General features: G+C 34.6%; 1 protein-coding gene across 15 annotated transcripts in view; it reads left to right on the plus strand.

Moving 5' to 3' along the window:
- The window catches only part of NCAM2 (neural cell adhesion molecule 2), a 544,921-nt gene that overhangs the window by 129,053 nt on the left and 392,009 nt on the right, over positions 1-23,859 (plus strand). For 6 of the 15 annotated variants that reach the window (XM_011529575.4, XM_047440784.1, XM_011529581.4 and 3 more), the window contains exon 1: positions 19,701-19,790. The exons of the other annotated variants lie outside the window; for them this stretch is intronic. The gene's annotated coding sequence lies outside the window, so the exon portion shown is untranslated. Of the gene's footprint in view, positions 1-19,700; positions 19,791-23,859 lie in introns of those variants that run through there. 15 annotated transcript variants of the gene reach the window in all.

The following is a 23,859-nucleotide window of genomic DNA, read 5'->3' on the forward strand; positions in this document are numbered from 1 at the left end:
TATTCCAGATCTTCTCTTCTAGCTGTTTTGAAATCTACTATAATTTCTCTGTAACTATAGTAGCCTTATTGTGCTATCGAACACTAGAACTTGTTTTATGTAAATATATTAATATTTTTATACTCATTAACCAACCTCTCTTCATTCTGCCTCCCTCACCTTCTCAGCCTCTGATAATCACTATTCTACTCTCTACCTTTATGAAATCAACATTTTTTAGATTCTACATATGAGTAAGATGATGTGATATTTGTGTTGCTGTGCTTGGCATATTTCATTGAACACAACGTCTTCTAGTTCCATCTATGTTGCTGCAAATGACAGGTTTTATTTTTATGACGAATATTTCATTGTGTATATATACGTATATACACAAACTATTTTTTCTATATTTATGTCTCTAAATATATACATTTAAATTTAAATATACGTTTAGCTTCCTTAAATAACACACAATTATATTAACTAGAAACCTGGCTGACGCCCAGCTCATTGATGAGACCTGCAGTTTGTGATGGCCAGCATGTCACACTTGCCACCCATTGTTACTACCTACCATTTTCCCTTTGTATTTTTTTTTAAAGAATAAATCAATAAAAAGCAAGAACTGTATGTAGGAAAGGAAATATTACATATTACATCTGGGTGTGAATTTTAAGGAAGGTGCAATCCAACAGAAAATATACTCTAGGTAGGGGACTGTAGTTCATATTGTGTTAGCTTGTTTGTGGTGGTTGTTAGTTGGTCAAAGAACAAATATAGAGTGAATGAGATTTGTGAGGGTTTTTTTTTTTTCTTTTAAGCAAAGCATCACTGGAATAAGATAAAGTCTCTCTTTACTTTGGTATTAAAATGGATGCATGCCTGGTATTCACAGGAAATTTGTCTAAGGGTTGTACATGTCACCTTGACTTTCAACTTAGCATCTGATAGGAGAACTTTATTGGCATACAAATGAGCAGAGAGGGTGACTGATGTAGTGAACTCTGCATTTTGCTTGTACTGAAAAGATTAAGATCTTTCCTTAATTGAGAATTAAGACAACTAATGAAAAAGAGCAAAAATCATAATTGAGCATTTTATATTACTGTGCCCAAAAGTTGGAATTTATAGATCCTGTAGAAACAAAGTAAAAGTAGTGTCGAATAATGATTTATTGATCTTCTGTGTAAGTCATTTAATTTGATTCTGAGTGAAATATAAAGTAAAATCTACAAATAAAATATAAAATAATTGGGCTTTGTAAGGCAAGAAAAGAAAAATGAGTTGAAAAGCATATGTGAAGAGTTAAGAAATTATTTGACGTCAGATAATAAAACAAAAGATCAATGCTTAAATTAAATCTACCTTGGAAATGGCAAAAATATAATTATTACTATACAAAATCAAATCAGAATTGTAGCAGAAACATTAGAAGACATCAGAAAATAATCTTAGAGGGATTAAAGCCAGTTTATTAGAAGATATTGTGGGGACCAATGTAAAAACATCCAAAGAATGAATGAGCAGAAATGAGTTAAAACGACAGCAAACAAATTTGACAGCCAAGAACAACAAATATTATCAAATTTTAAATTATTTTATGAACTGCTTATTAAGAGCTATCATTAAGTTTTCAGGTAAACAAATTTTAAAACGTATAAATTTGCATGTAGATACTGTGGCAAGTTTATTGATCATATTAGTCTTTATAATGTGAAAACTTTTAAGTCTTTAAAAATAGACTGAAAATTTATATCAGATACTGTACAGACTTACCTTTATCAAACACTTCTTTTACTTTTAAAAATGTATTTAATTCACAAATGAAGATTGACTATATTTGAAGTGTTAGAACTTAATGATTTAATCATTGTATTATGATTACCACAGTCAACACATCCAAATGTCTTATTAATTTAATTATAGCAAATAAAAGAAGGTTAAAGTAATGACTCAACTAGTCTTACTAGATTTTTAAGTTGCTTGCAAATTCTGTTGTAGAATATTGTCTATTTTCTACTGCCAGCTGCTATATCACGTGGGCTTCTATATCAAAAATGCTGCAAACTGGATGGGTTATATACAACAGAAATTTATCTCCAGTCTCCTGGAGACTGGAAAATTCATCATCAAGGCACCAGTAGATTCAGCGTCTGGTGAGGGCTGGCGATTTGGTTTTTAGATGGCATTCTCACTTTTTCTTCACGTAGTTGGTGCTAGCTAGCTCACTGTCGCCTCTTTTGTCGCTGTTGCCACCTTTTAATACTATCATGTGGGGGATTAGGTTTCAATATATGAATTTTAGAGGAGCGCAAGCATTCAGTCCATAGCAATAGTTCAGTGTAAGTAATGATCTTAAGTATGGTAAATTCATTGTATGATGAATCTGTATATTTTCACGAGGATCTGCTTATGCAGCTTCTGGTGATATGTAATGTTAGAAAATGCAAGGTGAATTTTGGACTTAGAAAATGCACCTATTGAATAAGAATACATTATTTTTTGCCTGGGATATTACTTAAAGTAGCATCATTTTATTTAAATAAGAATACAGAACTCATGTTCTGGGAAGAACTAATATATTGTGCTAGATATGGACCTCTCTTCTTACTCTAAATAGTGTTGTCAGTTAAATTTTAAATAAGGAACAATGAGAAAAAAATAAATGTATAAAACAAAGGCTAACTAGGAATATTATCTAAATATATTTTAAATAAAATTTTGTGTGAAATGTCTTTTGAATTGTTGGTTACAATTTTATGCACTGTGGAATAGTGTTAACATTATAATTTGACATCATCTAGCAGTTGGTAATACAAGGCTTTGTACAACTGGAAATCATGCAAAGGTTATCTTGTTCATCTGGGGAAATTAATATTGTCAATAGGATTTTATTAAATGTAGTTAATAAAATATTTAGTGGAACATTTCTTTTTTAAGGAATTTTTAGTCAATACTGGCAGTCCTCAAAGATGTTGAATAATATATAATGGTACGTGCATCAATCTCCCAAACTTTTATTTGACTGTGTAACTGTGCTTCCAATAACATTTTCCCGAATGTAAAAGCCTAAATATATTGTATAACAAAGAAGTATATATAATTACACTAATTCCGATAGATTATTGGTAATCTGTTGGGGATAGTCAGTAGGGATGAATTACTATGTTTATATTAACTTAATTTGACATTTTAAAACATCTTTGCCAAATGTCAACATTCATATCTGAGGAAATGCTTTAATTTTTGCTTACTCTGTGCCATAACTTTTGCCTCTATGTAAATTACCAATTTTTTTTTGGTGTTTTTAACAGTGGTATTAACTTATTAAATAAAAACCAGTTGAAAATATGTTTCTGGGTGAATATTTAAAATGGCAAAACATATGTCCAAAAATATAAGCTGGTAATTTATTACCATTTTAGTTCACATTTTTCTAAATTGGCCAAGCAAAAACAATGATATTTAGTTTAACTGAATGTTTCAGGTATAACGTGATCAACGTTATTGATACTAAACTAAAAAACAGAGTGATATGTTTTAAATTCTTTTGTGGAATTCATTAGATTTTTTTTGTTTCCTCTGTGATCCATATGTGCAAAAACGTAATCATGTGAGAATGAAAAGGAATAGACCATTTAAATAAGTTTGAAATCCTCATCTAAATATGTCAAGGTGTGTTAACACTTATGAAAATCACAGCTAATATAGACATTTCTAACTGATCATTGGATAAATGGTGGGGTTTGTGATAGAGGCAGAGTTATCACCATTCAATAACCATATCTACAACCAATATCAGATAAGTTACTTTATTTCTAGGGTTTAATTTTTCTGGGGGGGGGCTTTAATTTTTTTCAGCTCTTGGTGCCCAGGCTGAAGTCCAATGGCATGATCTCAGCTCACTGCAACCTCCACCTCCTGGGTTCAAGGGAGTCTCCTGTCTCAGCCTCCCTAGTAGCTGGGATTACAGGCATGCGCCACCACACTGGGCTAATTTTGTATTTTTAGTAGAGATGGGGTTTCTCCTTGTTGGTCAGGCTGGTCTCAAACTCCCAACCTCAGGTGATCCACCCGCCTTGGCCTCCCAAAGTGTTGGGATTACAGGCATGAGCCACCACTCCTGGCTGGGGTATAATTTATATATACAAATTAGCCTTCATACTTTACTTTTAAAATTATGTATTGACTTACATGTGTGTAGAATAATATTGTATTTTTTAAAATATACGTCAATTACTACAATTTTATATATAGCTATATATATGACACTACCTATATAATAGTGCTGTATGAAAATTGTATGCTTCTCAATTTTATGCATATATTTTATTCAAAAGGTTTTAACTTAAATTGTTTCCCAGTATGTATTGAACTTCTGTTATGGCCAAGATACTAGAAAAGATTCTGTATACAGAAAAGTGAATAATAGAAAGTGTGTATTTATATAAATAGCTAAGTGGCTTAATTTCCTATTGATATTGTAACAAATTGTCACAAAGCTTAAAAACCACACAAATATATTATTTTACACTTCTGTGGATCAGAAATTTGAAATGAATCATACAGGGCTAAAATCTGGGTGTTAGCATCTGTTACTTCTCAAAGCTGAGGTGAAGAATCCTTTTCCTAATCTTTTCCAGGTTCTAGGAGTTTCCCGCATGCATTTGCTCATGGCCTCTTCTTCCATCTTCAAAGGCACCTGCTTAGCATCTTTAAATTCATCTCCCTATCTCTCCCTCTTTCTTGCTCTCACTCTTTTTTACTCTCACTCTTGCTTTTGCTTTCTCTTTCTCTCTGACTTCTGCTTCTGTGGTTACATAGCCTTCCCTGACTCCCACCCTCTTTTCCTTATAAGAACCCTTGTGACTACAATAGTGCCACTAGGATAATTCAGGATAATTTTCCCATTTCATCTCAAGATCCTGTACTTAATCACATCTGTAAAGTCTTTTTTTTTTCATATAATTCAACATATTCACAGGTTCCAGGGATTATAAAGGGAATACTTTGAGGGAAGAGGGATTGCTCTGTCTACCATTGTCAGTATATCTGCATTTTTATTACAGCTTGTATTTAATTATGTATGTGTACATACTGAATGGGAGAAAAAGCACCTCAGTATTCTAATTTCAGATTGTAGCACAGTCCCTACACACATTAAAATAACTTATTACTAAATTCCATAAGCCTTACTAAAGACTTTAAAGTAAAGTTCCTCATGCTCCAAAATAAACATAGATCCTGGTTTTGTATTATCAGCATAGATAAATCTCACTTTATTTTTATGAACACATTTTTATTATGGAATATAAAACCAAGAGAGACAAGAACATAAGCTTAAACTTGCAACATAATGAATATTTTTTAAAATGAATAACCACATAACCACTGCACAAGGCAAGAATAGAACCCAGCACTCTAGAATCCTTTGTGTGCCACTTCCAGGGTAAAACCGTTAGACATAACCACTTTTCTATCTTCTGAGAATCATTTTCTTGATAACATTTATCACTTATACATAGATCCTTAAACAATATAATCATACGTGTTTTTATAATATAAATCAATTCATTTTACCTATATTATGACAGTTATTTTCTTTGCTCAAATTATATTTTAAGATCCATCTATCTTTTTGTATGTGACTTTGGATTATTTCAATTTTTATACAACATTCCATTGCTTTAATTTATTATGCAATCATTTTAGTAACAGTAAGCTACAGTACAAACAAATAGTAAGATACAATGATAATACTAACAATGAAGAAAACATTCAGAATTGATTAGAATATGCTGTGGCAACAATCTCCAAACTCCTTGACTTGTCTCTCTACACATACCTCACTAGTCTACTCAACATGGAGTTTACACTAACACTCGGAAGTAGCAGCCATATCTGGGATATTGACATGTTCTGTGGCAAAGGGAATGAGCACATGGGCTGATCGTGTTCTGTCTTTTAAAGCTTCTGCCACAAACTGACACAGTTCACGTCCACTCCTAATTCATTAGCCACTGTAAGTCACATGCCCATATCTGATTTCAAGGAGGCAGAGGAGTACCAAATGGGAAAAGACCTGTAAATATATGGCAAATTGCACTGACCAGTTCAACAACTGTGGTATTAATTAGTCATCACATATTCAATCCACTGTCCTTTTTGCCCACAAAAGGCACTCACCCTCCATGATGGAGTCAATCCAAAAAAGATCTCATAGAATTATTCTCAAAGTGCAAGATACCAGAATGATGTGCAGTATTTTCATCATCAGTGCATAATGCACAGTTGTTGCTGCCTCGACCCTGATCTGGAAACTCATGAAATTAAAAAGGTATTAACTTACCCACATCCCCATCCCTTACCCAACCAACTTTCACTGGAGGAATAGGAACAGGATACCCATAGAGAAAACAATCCATCAGAAAGGGGAGAAAGTTGAGATCTCACTGGTACATATTGATGCTGAAGTAACACTGGGTAGATGGTTGTGGATATTCCAAATCTTAATGGTGCAGTATATTCCTTGATCAGACCTCATTTCTGGTTCCTTTGAATTTCTCCCTAGCCCTGGTCTCTGTGGCCCTTATCTTCACACTTTGGGTGGCACTTCCTCTCTTTTTTTTTTTTTTTTTCCCCTGAGATGATGTCTCGCTCTGTCACCCAGGCTGGAGTGCAATGGTGCAATCTTGGCTCACTGCAACCTCCGCCTCCCGGGTCCAGGAGATTCTCCTGCGTCAGCCTCCTGAGTAGCTGGGATTACAAGTGCACGCCACCATGCCTGGCTAATTTTTTTTGTATCTTTAGTAAAGACAGGGTTTCACCATGTTGGTTAGGCTGGTCTTGAACTCCTGACCTCGTGATCTGCGCACCTCGGCCTCCCAAAGTGCTGGGTCTACAGGCATGAGCCACTGTGCCTGGCCAGCACTGCTCTTCTATTTGCTTCTTAACTACCTCAGAAGAAGACAGTGGAGACCAGGAGTGTAGGCCTTCATGGGTTCTGGGTGGCTTTGTAGGATTGGTTTTTGTCTATAGGAGTTAAAGAGCCTAATGGTCCATTAAACTCTGAATATCTACAGACACTTTAGTCCTGGATAATGCTTTCTTTTACAAAATAAAGTGTCCTAAAACTGTCTATCATTTTCATTAAAACTTTTTAATGTGCTAATAGAAAATGAGATATAGTCTTTAGATTTACCATATTTTTTGTTTTTTAATTTTTCATTTCACTTACTTCCAGTTGAATTATGGTTATATTGCAGCCTTTTTTTTTTTTTTTCCTGAGTTATGGTCTCACTCTGTTTCCCAGACTGGAATGCGGTGGTGCAGTGATCACAACTCGCTGCAGTCTCAAGCTCCTGGGCTCAAGGGATCCTCCCACCTCAGCCTCCTCAGCAGCTGGAGCTACAGCCACGTGCCACCACACCTGGCTATTTTTTTATTTTTATTTTTTTGTACAGACATGGTCTCACTATGTTATCCAGACTGGTTTAAAACTTCTGAACTCGCTGGGCGCGGCGGCTCACGCCTGTAATCCCAGCACTTTGGGAGGCCGAGGCGGGCAGATCACGAGGTCAGGAGATCAAGACCAATCCTGGCTAACACGGTGAAACCCCGTCTCTACTAAAAATACAAAAAAAAAAAAAAAAATTAGCTGGGCGTGGTGCCGGGCACCTGTAGTCCCAGCTACTCTGGAGGCTGAGGCAGGAGAATGGTGTGAACCAGGGAGGCGGAGTTTGCAGTGAGCCAAGATTGCGCCACTGCACTCCAGTCTGGGCTACAGAGTGAGACTCCATCTCAAAAAAAAAAAAAAAAAAACTTCTGAACTCAATCAGTCCTCCACTCTGGCCTCCCAAAATGCTGGGACTACAAGCATGAGCCACCATACCTTGCCAGTTGTATTTCATTTTTGTGCCTTTAGTGAGAGAGCCACAAGTTAAGTCCCTTTTATCTTGTGGCATATTGCTCAGTAGAAAGGATTCGGTAGGTGCCAAATAATATTATTCGAGTTTTTGCTCTGAAACACCTCGATAGAACTGAAGTTACTTAACAGTGAATGTGACAGTCTTAGCATTTATTTTATCCCTGCTTCAAGTCTGAGTTCAATTGTTCTTGTCACTCGAAGCTCTTCTCAGTTTTATATGCCGTTGGCCTTGATTAGCGGTTGCATCTTCTAACCATGACAGTCCTTGGAATGCTTGTACTCTCACTATCTCCACTATTTCCGTGTCCTAACTCACTGTTTTCTGATCTGATCTGTTTCTTGTGACAGTTTGCCAAATTCAACTCCTAGGAACCAACCTGTGCTTTTTTCAACCTTTTCCACTGGGACTCCAAGTTCATTAAGTATATACATTTTTCTTCCAAGTTATTACAGGTGGCAATTGTACCTAATAGTTCAGAACATGTGTCATGGATTCCATGTTCCCAGCCCTTCCTAGGAGTTTCCTTGCCTTAAAGTCCACAGATCCTAAGTCAGTGTCCCATGTATTTAAAAAAAATTGTTATGACATCATTTGACTTCTAGTTACCAATTTCTGGTGTGATGGACCATGTTATCCTGCAGTTACAAACAATTTTGAAGGCTTAGTGACTTACAAGAATTGTTTATTTATCGCTCTGTTTATATATCCATCATGGGTTACCTGGGGCCTTTCTCTTTCTTTACATCTGGACCCAGACTATTTGAACAGACACTTATCTGCAACATTAGGGGTCACTCTGGTGAAGGAAAATAAAGGAAATGGAGACTCCTCACTATTCTTTACCATTTTCTTCTGATACAGTTTGCTACCATTTGCATGTAAATAGCTAGAGGAAGTCATATAGCCATAACTAACTTTAAGGGTGAAGGGGAATACGATTCAGCCATGTATCCAGAAGGGAAAACAACCAGAAACACTGGTGAGCAACACTATAGAACACCACAAATGATAACAGCATTGAAAAATCTTTCTGATGGATTTATCTAAATATGGGATACCCACATGCTAAATTGTACTCTACTCAATTTATCTCTTTTTTTTTTTTTTGGAGACGGAGTCTCATTCTGTCACTCATGCTGGAGTGCAGTGGTGCGATCTCCACTCACTGCAACCTCCACCTCCTGGGTTCAAGCAATTCTCCTGCCTTAGCCTCTGGAGTAGCTGGGATTATAGGTGCAGGCCACCACGCCTGTTTTTTGTTTTTTTTTTTATTTTTAGTAGAGATGGGGTTTCACCGTTCTGCCCAGGCTGGTCTCGAACTCCTGAGCTCAGACAGTCTGCCCGCCTCAGTCCCTCAAAGTGCTAGGATTACAAGCATGAGCCCGGCCCATTTTATCTCTTTCTAATTCTCTTTCTACAAAAGACGACATGCAATGAAATCCTTCCGGTTGCAGACACCATGCAAAGCAAAGGGAAAGTTAAACAACTGTTCCTCAAAAGAAATTTTGAATGTTAATAGTAAATAATTGATTTTTTTTTTTTGGTTTAAGGACAAAAAAGCTATAATTTTTAAGAATTGTTATTACTGCCAAGAGTTAATACTGGCGAGTGCCACTTTATGACTTAGAGTTGCTTGGTTTCTGGTTACAATTTTTAGTAGAGGCAGGTTTCACCATGTTGGCCAGGCTGTTCAGGGACTCCTGGCCTCAAGGATCCACCCACCTCAGACTCCCAAAGTGCTGGGATTACAGGTGTGAGCCACTGCGCCCAGCCACAATTAATAAAGTTTGTTTGAACATATTATAAAATGTGTTTAACACATGGTGCCGATATTGTCAAAATTAAAAATTAGAAAAATACACTGCCATTATTATACTAAAATATGACTGCTTATGTCAGAATATCATACAAAGTTCTGTTACTTAAAAGAAATTATTTACAAATTAGAACTTTTCCAAGAAGTATGTATTTACATATTGTGGCATTTCACAATACAGCACACTTAAAAATAATTGATACTTAAACATGTTCCTATAAAGTATTCTAAATCAGGTGAGAGACTTCAATATGATTTATAAAAAATGTTGGCCGGGTGTAGCATTCAATATGATTTATAAAAAATGTTGGCCGGGTGCTGTGGCTCACGCCTGTAATCCCAGCACTTTGGGAGGCTGAGGCAGGCGGATCACCTGAGGTGACCAACATGGAGAAACCCTGTCTCTACTAAAAATACAAAACTAGCTGGGCATGGTGGTGGATGCCTGTAATCCCAGTTACTTGGGAGGCTAAGACAGGAGAATCGCTTGAACCGAGGAGGCAGAGGTTGCAGTGAGCCGAGATCGTGCCATTGCACTCAAGCCTAGGCAAGAAGAGCGAAACTCCATTAAAAAAAATGTTGAAAGTGTAAGAGTGATTTTTTTTTAGTTGCTTCCAAATCCAGAGGATATCTTTTGAAAGCAGTCGTCACTTCATTTTTTTTTTCTGTGTTGTGATTCTTCTTTGTGTTCCTTGTATGACTTTTGTCCTTTCCATAATGAGTGTAGGATATTAGCAGGAAGGTGACACTGGATTTGTGTTGATGGACTTGGGGAGAACCTTTGTAACGGTGTTTCATTAGACTCAGTTCACCCCAGATACCAGCTTATTACCATCTCCTCTAGCATTTATATCTGAGGAACAGAGAAACTCATGTCTTTTGTCCTACCTTTTGTCCTATTTCCAAGCTCTGATCAGGGCATATCAAAAAGCAATTTCTGGCTTGTGCTAGTTCCTTATCTTGGGAACAGCTGCAGTTCACATTCCCTAAGTGTGAGCAAGCACAGATGTCTTCACTGATTGTAAGGCTGAAGGTGGAAGAAAAACGTCCTTACTAGTATGCCTTGATCTGCCCCAGACGTTCCAATCTCTCCAGTTCATTCTGCAAACCAGCATTGCAGTACTTTTTAAACCTTGGTGTGATAGTAAAAACAAGACAAAGCCAGGGGTTTCAGAGACAGATAGATGTGTTTGACCTGTCGTTTCTCCACATCATTTTCATTATCTGTAAATTGAAGATGATTACAGTAGTCGTAGTTCCCCAATCTTAAGCTACATCTCTAGTGTATTTATTTGCCTACTACACAGTAGGAATCAATGATAACTGGAAGAGTTGACTGGTATTTCCCTCTCCATATTGTGAACTACATGAATATAAGGGATGCATCTTTTTTTAACATTATTGCCATCCTCTCACATCTCCAGCAATATTGTAAACAGACAGCGACCCATATATACCTCCATTATGCTCTAACAGGTAACTGATTTTAGCAGTGACATATTTATAATAAATAATTAGTGTATTTTGATTTGAAAAATAGACTTAATAATTAAAACTGAGTTTTATAGCTAAACATTCTGATACCAAAATAGATATATATATTTTTTGCTTCAATATACGACTGACACTTTCTTTGACACTGTGGAAGCCAACTTAGGTAAGGTAAGGTAAAATAACCCTTTAATGTAGTCATTGAAGTAATTTTTTGTCATACATATTCATCATTTTGTTCAGGTTATGGTATTTTAATGATAAATAATAGTTATATAATGCAGTCAGGTGAATGGTGGTCACCCCAGAAGATATGGCCACATCTGGATTCCCTGAACCTGTGAATAAAAGTTTTCTTACTTTGAAAAAGGATCTTCGCTTATGTAATTTAACATCTTGATATGTAGAGAGAATCCCGGATTCTCTGGGTGGGCTCTAAATTCAGACAAGTGTCTTTATAAGAAAAAGGCAGAGGGGGATTTGAGACAGACAGAAGTGAAGGAGGCAGTGGAACTACAGAGACAGAGCTGGAGTGAGGCAGCCACAAATCAAGGCTTGGCGAAGGCCACCAGAAGCTGTAAGAGGCAAAGAACAGATTCACCCCTAAAGCTTCAGAGGGAATGTGTCCCTGCTAAAATTTGGACTTCCAGCCTGAAGAGCTGTGAGAAAATACATTTTTGTTGTTTTAAGCCATCAGGTTTGTGGTAATTTAGTTTGAAATCTTCAGAAAATGAATACAGATGTGTTAATGTCTCTAGTTCTTGGCATCTGTTTCTGAAGATTAAGCACGACTTTTCACAAACAACCTTGATGCATTTTGTTTTCTTTATAGAATACAAGGAGAAAATTAATATACAAACTAACCAGGAAAAACATCTAATTGTAACAGTCTATAGATATTTTATCTCGCTTTCTGTCTGTTCACATGTGATGTAGGATAAATATTCAGGTAGTTTTTTAATTCACATTTTTGGAATTTTTACATTCTAAGGGGAAGATTAAATTGTTTGAAAATATGTGTGCAGAAGTATATAAAATAAATATATAAAAATGGCTATGCATATGTACATACACATACTTATGTGAAAATATTTTAAACATCAATGTATGAATAGTTCTATGTGTGAAAAATACTTAATACCATTATTTATTAAACTCAATTCCTTAATTATTAAAATTTACTCCTTTATTAAAAATAAATCTAAAATATTCACAAGTTCACGTCTTACACATATTTGCCTTGTTGGAAATATTCTGGTAATTTCTATGATAAGAAAACATTCATCATGAACAATTGTATAATTTGCTCACTAATGATGATGGTGTCTCCAAGAATTTAGGACATCAAATTGTCATGGTGGGTTCTAAGATTTATCCAGAGTTTCTGTTTCAAGAGTATTTTTTATGGCTAGAATAAGTTTTCAGGTTACTCTTTAGAAAGTGATTAAAATAAAATTAAGATCCATTTTTAAGTCATTACAATTGGTATCATGTTATTGCTTTGTATTAATTGTATACACCATAGAGTAATAAGTATAAGGAACAAGACAGCTTGAAAAATAAGTGACACTGGAAATTTAAACACAGTTTGGTGGGATATAAAGACAAATAATTGCATCCTTCTAGGCATTGAAGCTAAACATTTCTATTTTGGTAATGTTGGCTAGAGCATCTGAAAATGCACATCAGGGTCTCTGGGCAGAGCAAACACTTCCTGTAAGCCATACCTTCAATAAATAATTCTTGGTGAAAATAAAACCATTAGCAGAAATAATGATAATCTTTTCCTTTTGGGCTTTAATAAATCATCCTACCGATGCTAACAAATGAAGTATATTATAAAATATGAAATAAATATAAATCTTAAAAATCATCTGAGATTGCCATTTCTCCAGTCTAAGCCTCATCAGCTATTTCTCTTAGTAGGACCACCAGGGTCCAGAATCTCATACCCTGATTTACAGCTGTTATTTTATTCAGAAGTGCTCATGAAGAGCTTATTCTTTGGTTTTCTCTTCTGTCACTTTTGTTCAGACCACCATGAAGAAAGTCCTGGAAAATCACTTTATTTTTCAACAATTTAATATGTTACAATTCCTGAATCTGCATGCTACTTTTCAAAAATGAACACTAGTGAAATTTGAGGAGTCAAATTAATTCATTGATAAAAATCTCTGAACATTGCTATGAGGCCAGAGTGTAGCAGTTACTCTAAGAAGGCTTACAGTGTGCAGAAACAACAGAGAAAAGGTAATTTCTTAAATTAACCCTGATTTAACATGTACCCTGCTGTGAAGGACTCTATATTTTAAAAATGGGCTATTTATCTATGGTCCAGGAGGCAAAGACTCTCCATTCAGGAAGCAGTAGTATCCTAAACAATACATACCTTCCCAGCATTGTACATTTTTGTAACCTTGATTTTTCTATCATGATAAAATTAGAAGACATAACACTTCATAATTTCAAAACGTATAACACTTTTGTAAAAATGGTTTTCAAGTTTTTCGCTAGAAATTTTGTAAAGTTGCTACAGGTACGTGTAAACAAACTTGATATGATGAAACAACAAACTTCTCCTTATTTCCTTAGATTGTTCTTCTATCAGGAGGCACATATTTGTTGTCTGGTGTCTCCTTTAATGATGTTAGCAGCTATTGATGATCTTTGCTAGATCCATTAATTCACTGGCAGTTGGAAATGGTTCTGTTTTAATGCCACAATTCTTTTCTCATTTATTAGCAGATATTTTTATAAAAAATCCTCTTATCAATGATATGGTTACCAGTGATACCAGAAAGGCAGAATAAATGTTGGATTTTTCCTATCAATTACTATATTCTAAAATAAAGTTTTGCATTCCTCACACCTTTATTAGTAATTAGTAGTTTTAATAAACATAATTATTGACAGTTAGATATGAGAGCATATTTGATAGATTTCATTCCACTCAAGATGGTCTCATTCGTGCTCAAATTTTCTCCTCCTTTACTCATGGAAGGCTCTTAAATTTAGCAAAGTTCTTTTGACACTGCTCTGGTAGTCTTTTGGAGAGCCTCCACACTATCTGGCATGACAAGGTGTCCCAGGCCTAGGCTGTATATCTACTGCCCTGGACCAGGAATCAGGCATTTGTCTGAAGTGAACTGATTAACTGATTACTTTTAGTGGGAAATTGTATCTGAACACCATAAATTGGGTTCAAGGTATGCTCATTAGTACTGTATTGATCTTTGCTTCCAGACATTTTAGAAAGCAGAGCCAGAAAAATAATAGATACATGAAAGATGATAGATAGAGATAAATGGATGAAATAAGTAGAAAGTTCATCTGAGTGTTTTAATTCAAATTCAGCCTTTAAGGGATTTTTGCATAATCGGTCATGTTACATCTTGATCTCCTTTCTTCTGGTTTATAACACTGGGAATAATTAAAGTAACATTTGCTTTATTCCATGATGCACATAAAGCATTCTCAGTTAGCAATAGCGAAAACAACTAATATGAATACTATAAACATTTGTGACTTTTTTGGGTAGTTTTTCCTGTCCATAGAGTATATCTTGCTGTAAAAATACAGTCAAATTACTGTGACTGAAAGGCACTTGGATAGTTTATGTTTGTGCACATGTGCATATTTAATAACTACAAATATATGTTTAACTTCACTTTTTAAATTATTTGACCGTTTTTTTTTATGTTTTTTTTTTTTTTTTTTTGAGATAGAGTCTCACCCTGTCGTCCAGGCTGGAGTGCAGTGGCGCAATCTCGGCTCACTGCAAGCTCCGCCTTCTGGGTTCACGCCATTCTCCTGCCTCAGACTCCGGAGTAGCTGGGACTACAGGCGTCCGCCACCAGGCCTGGCTAATTTTTTTGTATTTTTGAAAGAGACGGGGTTTCACCATGTTAGCCAGGATGGTCTTGATCTCCTGACCTCGTGATCCGCCCGCCTAGGCCTCCCAAAGTGCTGGGATTACAGGCGTGAGCCACTGCGCCCAGCCTTGACCATTATTTTTATTGTAATTATGTAAAATGTTTTTTGTGGTTTCTGGGTCAAAAAGCAAAGTGCATATAATAAAGTTGTATATTAACACACATCTGTATTATATGCACTTTTATTTTTTCCCTTATAGTACATGGTTATAAAAACCATAATTAAATGTAAAGTATTCCTCATTCATTCATTTTCAGAGCTATGATTTTTGTAGGTGTAGCGTATTTTATTAAACTGTATTTTTGTAGACAGCAATTTTGGTTGTTATTAGATTTCGAGGGATCTCCCTCTATCTTATAGAATGTCACAATTATTAGCCCTGGTCATACATCTTTATAAAAATATTTTTGCCGTTGTCCATTTTTGTTATATTCAAAGAAGTTATACTGCTTGGTCGAAGGGTAATGATTAAGTTATTTGGTCACACATACCAAGTTACTGTTCATCGGGATTTTAACATTTTTTTGTCTCACTGCAAAGGTGTGAAGGTTCCTATTTAGCCAACCCCTGCTTAGCAGACTATGTGGTTAGGCTTTTGGGTTTTTTTCCATTGGAAGATGTGAGAAAATGGTATTTTTGTTTCTTTATTATTTTCATTTCATTTTATATGAAGTGTGTGTCAACGCATCTATTTTTATAGGGTTATTGAAAATTTTATCTATTTTAGGTGTTCTTTATTAAACATATTAACTCTGATTCTTCAGTTTTGATTTGTTTTAGCTTGACTGTTTACTTGTGGTGTCCTTTGCCCTGTGAATTTTTAATGTAATCAAATGTACCTAATTTCTCATTGCGTCTGGATTTTGAGTTACAGTTTTAAAAGGTTTTCCCTCTCCCACTTGTAGAAAAGTTGACCAGATTTTCCTCTGTGTATAGTTTTATACTTTCACATTTCAGTCTGGTCCTTTTGGAATTTACCCTGATGCACAATATGATGAATTCACCCAATTTTATCTTTTTAATATTGTATCTTTTTATTTAAGTATTTTTTTCCCTCACTGTTCTACTATGCTGTTTTTCTATTTTGGCGCCTTGGTTTTTCCATCTCTTCATGCACCAAAAACGCATTATTTAAAATATGTTTGGTGTCTTGTAGGCCTTTTCTCCTTTTTGCTCATTTTTTTTTTAGGAAGTTTTTTTTTTTTTTTTCCAGCAGTTATTTGTATTTATTTGTTTTTTAAGATAACTTTCTACTCATATTCTTGCAATTCAGGGGAAATAAGAATTGTGATCATATTGGCATTGCTGTCAATCCTGAAATTAGTTAGTAGAAAACTCAATGTGTTATTTGTTTCACAACGTTTTTTGTCTATTTTCATACCTTTCATCTTTTAAAAAATCCCAAGTTAAATTGTGTATTATGTACCAACATCATACAATTAAAAATCAACCTTTTGGCTGGGCACGGTGACTCACACCTGTAATCCCAGCACTTTGGGAGGCCGAGGTGGGCGGATCATGAGGTCAGGAAATTGAGACCATCCTGGCTAACATGGTGAAACCCCATCTCCACTAAAAATATAAAAAATTAGCCAGGTGTGGTGGTGCATGCCTGTAATCCCTGCTACTCAGGAGGCTGAGACCAGAAAATTGCTTGAACCCAGGAGGTGGAGATTGCAGTGAGCCAAGATTGTGCCACTGCACTCCAGGGAGACAGAGCAAGACTCCATCTCAAAAAGAAAAAAAAAAAAATCAACATTTCAAATTACAAAACAAAATGATAAAATGGCATTCAAAATAACTTAAAAGATAATATCCTTGCCAAATTAGTTCAAGATTATACACTCCAAACCAAAATCATTGCTGAGAGAAAGCCAATGAAATTCAGATACATGGAGAGACACATGGTGATCATAGATCAGAAGAATCAACATATGTCAAGGTCTCAATTTCCTAAAATCGATCTACACATTTCATTCAATCGAAATGTCTGTCTTTTTTTTTCTTAAAGTTAATATTTCCATTCTTTTGACATCTTTGAATTCCCCTTGAAATACAAGAGAAATCCTCACCACTTTAAGTCAAACACCTCTGTTCCCAAATATCTGACACATCTTCCTTCATTTATTTCTTCTTTCTTCCACTTACATTCATAGATTTAACTACAGACAAAGCAAGACTAGGAAATCTAGTCTTGCTAGATGCATCTTGTTTAATGAAATGCTTAAGAAATGGAATATAGGAAAATGTAGAGAAACAAAGGCATAAAAGCATGTCAACACTAGTACAACTGATCTTTGAAATGTCAGGGGTCGCCGTGTTGTGAAAAGCAAATTAATATAGGACGCTGAAAGAAATAATGATCATGAAGAATTTAAAAATGTTACTGGCACTGATATGAATATTCTTCAAGCAATATTACTTTATACTAAAATGAATCCCTAATAGAGATTCAAGTTGATATCCACTGCAGGTTGCTACATCAAAGCATTTTATTTTTTTGATTACTCCACCAAATTTTTCATGGTTTCTTACCATTTAAAAACAAGAAAACCTCTGACAATAATGAAACAACAATAGAGTGAAGGGTTTTGAAGCCCATGCTAATATGAATTACAAATTATTTTTATAATAGATTCATTCACTATAACAAGAAAAACAACAAAAACAAAAATATTTTAAATTGTGCTTACTTGCTTTTGATTATGCATAATGTCCTTCACCGTCTTGAGCATTACTTAGATGTTTTAAAATTGAATAGCTAATTTGAAATTGAGTATAAACCAAGAACAACTTACTGCAATTTATGTGTCACCACAATGATGATAACAATCTTCATAAAAATTCTTTTGTCCATCAAAGTATGCAATATGTCTTATAACAAATTAAATGTTGATCAAAACATTACAGATAAATAGGCATACTTTTTATATAATAAAACCTTTAGTTCCTTGCTGTTCTGCAAAATTTTTAAGTAGTCTATAAATCTGTATGTTACAAACAATAAAATGAAGCCAAAAAGAAGTGGGTAAGAGGATTATTGCAAAAGGAAGCTATGGATAGTATAGTATAACCAACACAAGAGAAGGTATAAATTAAAGATGTATTCAGAAGAGATTTAGAATACCCAGTATGCATGGTACAATTCAGGACACTGAGTACAAAACGATAAATAAATAAGATGATTATTTATAATCCATGGATTTAATAGTCTTATAGGGAAGATAGTAACTCAGGTAGAGTGTGATAGATTTAACAATACTACTGTACTTAAGGAGCTTGGTAAAATATTGACGATTGTGATTTAATTTGCCCGAAGGAAGAAGAAAGGCCAGGAAGCCTTCACAGAAGAGCTGGCACATAGACAGCAAAAATGGCAATGTCTTTAAATAGCAGTTCTGCCTGGAAACTTTTGCAACAGAGAAACACGTTTTTTGACAGTTTTTACAAGTAACAATGGCTAAAGTGAGAATATGAATTTAATAATTTCTATCACAATATGCCATTGTAAAAATTTTAAAAGGTAAGATTTTAGAATATGTGATTATATAAAATACTTATAATATTGGTTACTGAGTAAAATATTTTAAAATATTATAGTTCATACAAATACACTTTAAGAAAATACACTATTTCCATTGGTGTTATCACAGCCTTAGTTTTTATTTTATATCCAGGGTTTTTTGTTTTGTTTTGTTTTTTCATGGATTATAAAATGTTATAGAGGGAAAATTGTCTTTCTGACATGAATTTTGATCTGATTCTTCTGATCATATGTTTAGGTCTTCTACAGTGATACTTAAATAATCTATAGGGACTGAAATTACTTGGGTGTACTAGGCAGCATTTTCCAGAGAAACAGAACCAATATATACTCAATAGAATATATATGTGTATGTGTGTGTGTATATGTGATTATATAAAATACTTACAGGATATATATATGTATATATATATATATATGGATTATATAAAATACGTGTATGTGTGTGTGTGTTTTTCCTTTACTCAGAGCCATTTAACGTATTAAAGAACAGCTTTAAAAAAAACTTAAATTCACAGTTTCTTAACAGCAATACATTTAATACCTTCGCAAGATTTCAAGTGAAAAACATACATTATTCATGCTACGGGTTTTAAATTTTCCTTGGATAACACCAAAAACATGGTACTCAAACTGCATGTTTTAACATGAGGAACATGAACTATCATTTTGACACAAAGACAGGTTAAACAAAATAAAGGCAATGTGGAACTACTCCAGTACCAGTGGACTTGCTGAAATCTCGCGCCCTGTCCCACTCCGGAACTCATACCGCTGCCTTCTACTCCGGAACTCAGACCGCTGCCTTCTACTCCGGAACTCAGACCGCTGCCTTCTACTCCAGCACCAGTGGACTTCCTGAAATCTCGCGCCCTGTCCCACTCCGGAACTCATACGGCTGCCTTCTACTCCGGAACTGATACCCTTTGCCTTCTACTCCGGAACTCATACCCTTTGCCTTCTAAGCCAGCACTAGTGGACTTCCTGAAATCTCGCGCCCTGTCCCACACCGGAGCTGGTACCGCTGCCTTCTACTTCAGCACATGGAACTCTGCCTCCGCAGTTCTTAGTCCGTACCCGGCATTTCAACAAAAATGTAAATATTCAGAGATGTGTCACTGAATGAGAATTACTACAACATGCTAAAAAAAAGACAATTTATTTGTTGAATGTTGAAAGAAGGGGCTAGAATCAGTTGAAATTTAGAGTAGAAGGAAAATTTTGGAGTGACTCAGTCACTTCACTCTGATTTCATTTAATTTTTTATTTTTTGAGACAGGGTCTTGCCCTGTCCCCTAGGCTGGAGTGCCGTGGTATACTCATGACTCACTGTAGCCTCAATATACATACACTAATATATATATACACTAATAATGCAGCCACAGTATACATACATGCCGTGGTATACTCATGACTCACTGCAGCCTCAGTATACATACACTGTATATATATGTATATATACATACACTAATAAGTATCAACAGATATATATTTAATAAATTTATATATATACACACTAGCGCATATGCACACATACATCAAAAACATACATATTATATACTATATATAATATATAGTAATATAAAAGCGTACATGTTTTTGATGTGTGTGCATATGCACTGGTGTGTATATATATAAATTTATTGAATATATATATCTGTTGATATGTTTATAAAATACCCTATTTATATAGGATATTTAAATTAGGATAATTTTTCATTCTCTATATAATATATAGGATAATAATAGGATGAATAACATATAGGATATATATAAAGTGAAAAGCCAGTGCTGTGATTCCAGTCTGAATCTGAAGACCTGAGAACCGGGGGCACTGAGGGCAGGATAAGATGGATGTTCCAGCTCAGGCATTGAGGCAGAGAGAGTGCCAATCCTACCTTCCTCCCATTTTCTCCTATTCAGGCTCTCAATGTATCCTATGCTGTTCAGCCACATTGGGAAGGGCCATGTGCTTTATTTACTCAGCACACCAATTCAAATGCTAATCTTTTTAAGAAACAACTGTATAAACATACTCAGAAATTATGTTTGATCAGATATCTGGGCAGCCTGTGTTCAGTCAAGTTAACACATAAAATTAATCATCACAGAGGATGTGTACTTAATTATTTTGACCTCATAAATGAAGGCTTTCTCTAACTTTAATACTGTGGAACAAGCAGGGATACACAGCATGCCTAAGCAAAAATGCAAATAACTGGTGATAGTTTCTACTGGAAGATACTTCACAGGTAGGGGCACGTCTCTTTGACTGCTTTGTCATCAAACAGCCTCTCTGGAAAAATTTATTTGTCCTTGTAGGGAGAAGAAGATACTGTTAAAGTGGAGATTTTAAAATAAACCTAAAGTGTGCAGATATACAGTGTTCAACACCAAAAACCTTAAGAACAGACATCTTCATTTTAAATTTTCCTTTAGAATCTTCAAAAGTAGATAAGAATCCTAGGCCTGAAGCTTTTTTTGAGAGACGCTTTTTTAGGAACTGCAGTAAGAAGTATTCATAAGTACTTAAGTTGTCATAGTTATTAATAGTTCTGAGAATTTCCCTTAGATTTCCCAGTATATTCAGTTGATGTTCAAATCTTTGCAGAGAAGTTGACCTGAAGGAGAATTAGGAAATTAACAGAATTAGAAAATAATTATAATCTGGGAATTATTCTTACAGTAGAAATAGTGTCAGTCTAAAGTTGTATATCTCATACCATATTTACTAAAATTATTTATTTTGCTGGTAAGGCATGCATAAGCCACAGTGTATTTCCAAAAGAATATCCAGCTCTTTCAATGACGATTACTAATGTCCCTTTTCAAATTTAATGATTATAGGACCTTAGTTCAAATAAAAATACTGTATATATGTGGTTCTATTTCTGGACTCTGTTATGTTCCATGAATCTGTATTTCTATCATTATTCCAGCACTAAATTGTCTGGATATCTGTAAGTTTGTATAAAATCTTGAAATAAGGTAATGCACACTGTCTTTGTTCTTTATTGGAAAAATATTTTGGCTATTTGAGGTCTTCCTTTTCCATATAAATTTAAAACCTTCTTGGCAATTTTCTCAAAAAAAGTCTGCAGTTCATTTTTGGAGAATTACATTGAATCTATAGGTCAACTTGGAGATAATTGATATATTAGTAATATAGATTTTTCCAATTCAAGGTCATGGAATATTTCTCAATTTATTTAGATCTCTTTTAACTTCAGGAACTTTGTCTACTTTTTGATTTTTTATTTTACCTTAAGTTCTGGGATACATGTGCAGAATGTGCAGGTTTGTTACATAGGTATACATGTGCCTTGGTGGTTTGCTGCACGTATCAACCCATCATCTAGGTTTTAAGCCCTGCATGCATTAGGTATTTATCCTAATGCTCTCCCTCCCCTTGCCCCCCACCCCCCGACAGGGCCCGGTGTGTGCTGTTTCCCTCCCTGTGCCCATGTGTTCTCATTTTTCAACTCCCACTTATCAGTGAGCACGTGTGGTGTTTGGTTTTGTTCCTGTGTTAGTTTGCTGAAAATGATGGCTTCCAGCTTCATCCATGTCCTTACAAAGGACATGATCTCATTATTTTTTATGGCTGCATAGTATTACATGGTGTATATGTGCCACATTTTCTTTATCCTGTCTATCATTGATGGGGCATTTGAGTTGGTTCCAAGTCTTTGCTATTGTAAATAATGTTTCAATAAACATACATGTGCCTGTTTCTTTATAGTAGAATGATTTATAATCCTTTGGGTATATAGCCCGTAATGGGATTGCTGGATCAAATGGTGTTTCTAGTTCTAGATCCTTTAGGAATTGCCACACTATTTTCCACAACGGTTGAACTAATTTACAGTCCCACCAACAGTGTAAAAGCGTCCCTATTTCTCCACAGCCTTCTACTTTTATGTGTTTAGGTTCCTTATATATTATGTGAAATTTTTTTCTAAATATTTTGTGTTTTTATTACTGTAAATGGTATTGTGTTTATAGCAAAGGTATTTTTCTTTGTGGATATAGAAATACAATTAATTATTGCATGTTGAGCAGTACCTTGCAAATATATTTACTTATTCTTATAGTTTTTTAAAATGTAATTTCTGTGAGTTGCTTACAAATTATTTGTGAATTAGTTTTACTTCTTGCCAAGATTTATACTTTTTTCTTTGTTTTCTTGCCTAGTCTGCTGCCTAGGGATTCCAGAAAAATTGTGAATAGAGGTGATGAGAACAGATATCCTTGTCTTGTTCCTGATTTCAGGGAGAAAATATGCAAATTTTCACTATCAAATATGAGGTTAAATGTAGACTTTTAAAAGAGATTCTTGATCAGATTGAGGAAATGTTCTTATATTCCTAGTTTGCTATTTTATTATTAATTGATGTTGAATTTTGTCAGATTTTGGAGGCATCTATCTTTATGATCATATGGTTTTTATCTTTTATTTTATATATGTGATAACTTCCATTGTTTGATTTCCATTCTTGGGATAAATCCAGCTTCATCATGATATTGTCTGTGGTATATATTGTTAGATCCATTTTTCTTATATTTTCTTTTGGATTTCTGTGTCTATATTAGTGATGGTATTGTTTTCTGGTAATATATTTTTCTGCATTTGGTATAAAGATAATGATATTTTTATAAAATTAATTGGGAAGTGTTCTCTGTTGATTTTAATTGGGAAGTGCTCTCTGTTGATTTTATGAAAAAGTTTATAGAAGCTGGATGCTATTTTTTCTTAAATGGTTGACAAAATTTATGGGCTATGTCATCTTGGCTAACTTTTTTTTGTGGGAAGATTTTAAAAATATATATATATTTTTAATCGTGATATGTTTGATTGATACCATTCTTGTGTCAGTTTTGGTGGGTTTTGTCTTTCAAGGAGATTAGGATGATTAAATTTATATTTTTATTTTCCAGTGTTATTTAAATCAATTAAAAAAACACTTCTGTATCTGGCAATTTAGATATATTTTTATTACCTATTTTGAATGTGATTCCTTAGGTTTAGATAATATAATCTGGAGGATTTAGTCATATTACACTTTAGACTTAATTATGTTCCAGAATATTAAGTATCTTAGATAATATTTAATGTGTATTTTTTATCATTATACTTCAAATTGTAAGGTACATGTGCACAACGT

The sequence above is a fragment of the Homo sapiens genome, chromosome 21 (genome assembly GCF_000001405.40).
Source record: "Homo sapiens chromosome 21, GRCh38.p14 Primary Assembly".
Classification (NCBI taxonomy): Eukaryota; Metazoa; Chordata; class Mammalia; order Primates; family Hominidae; genus Homo; species Homo sapiens.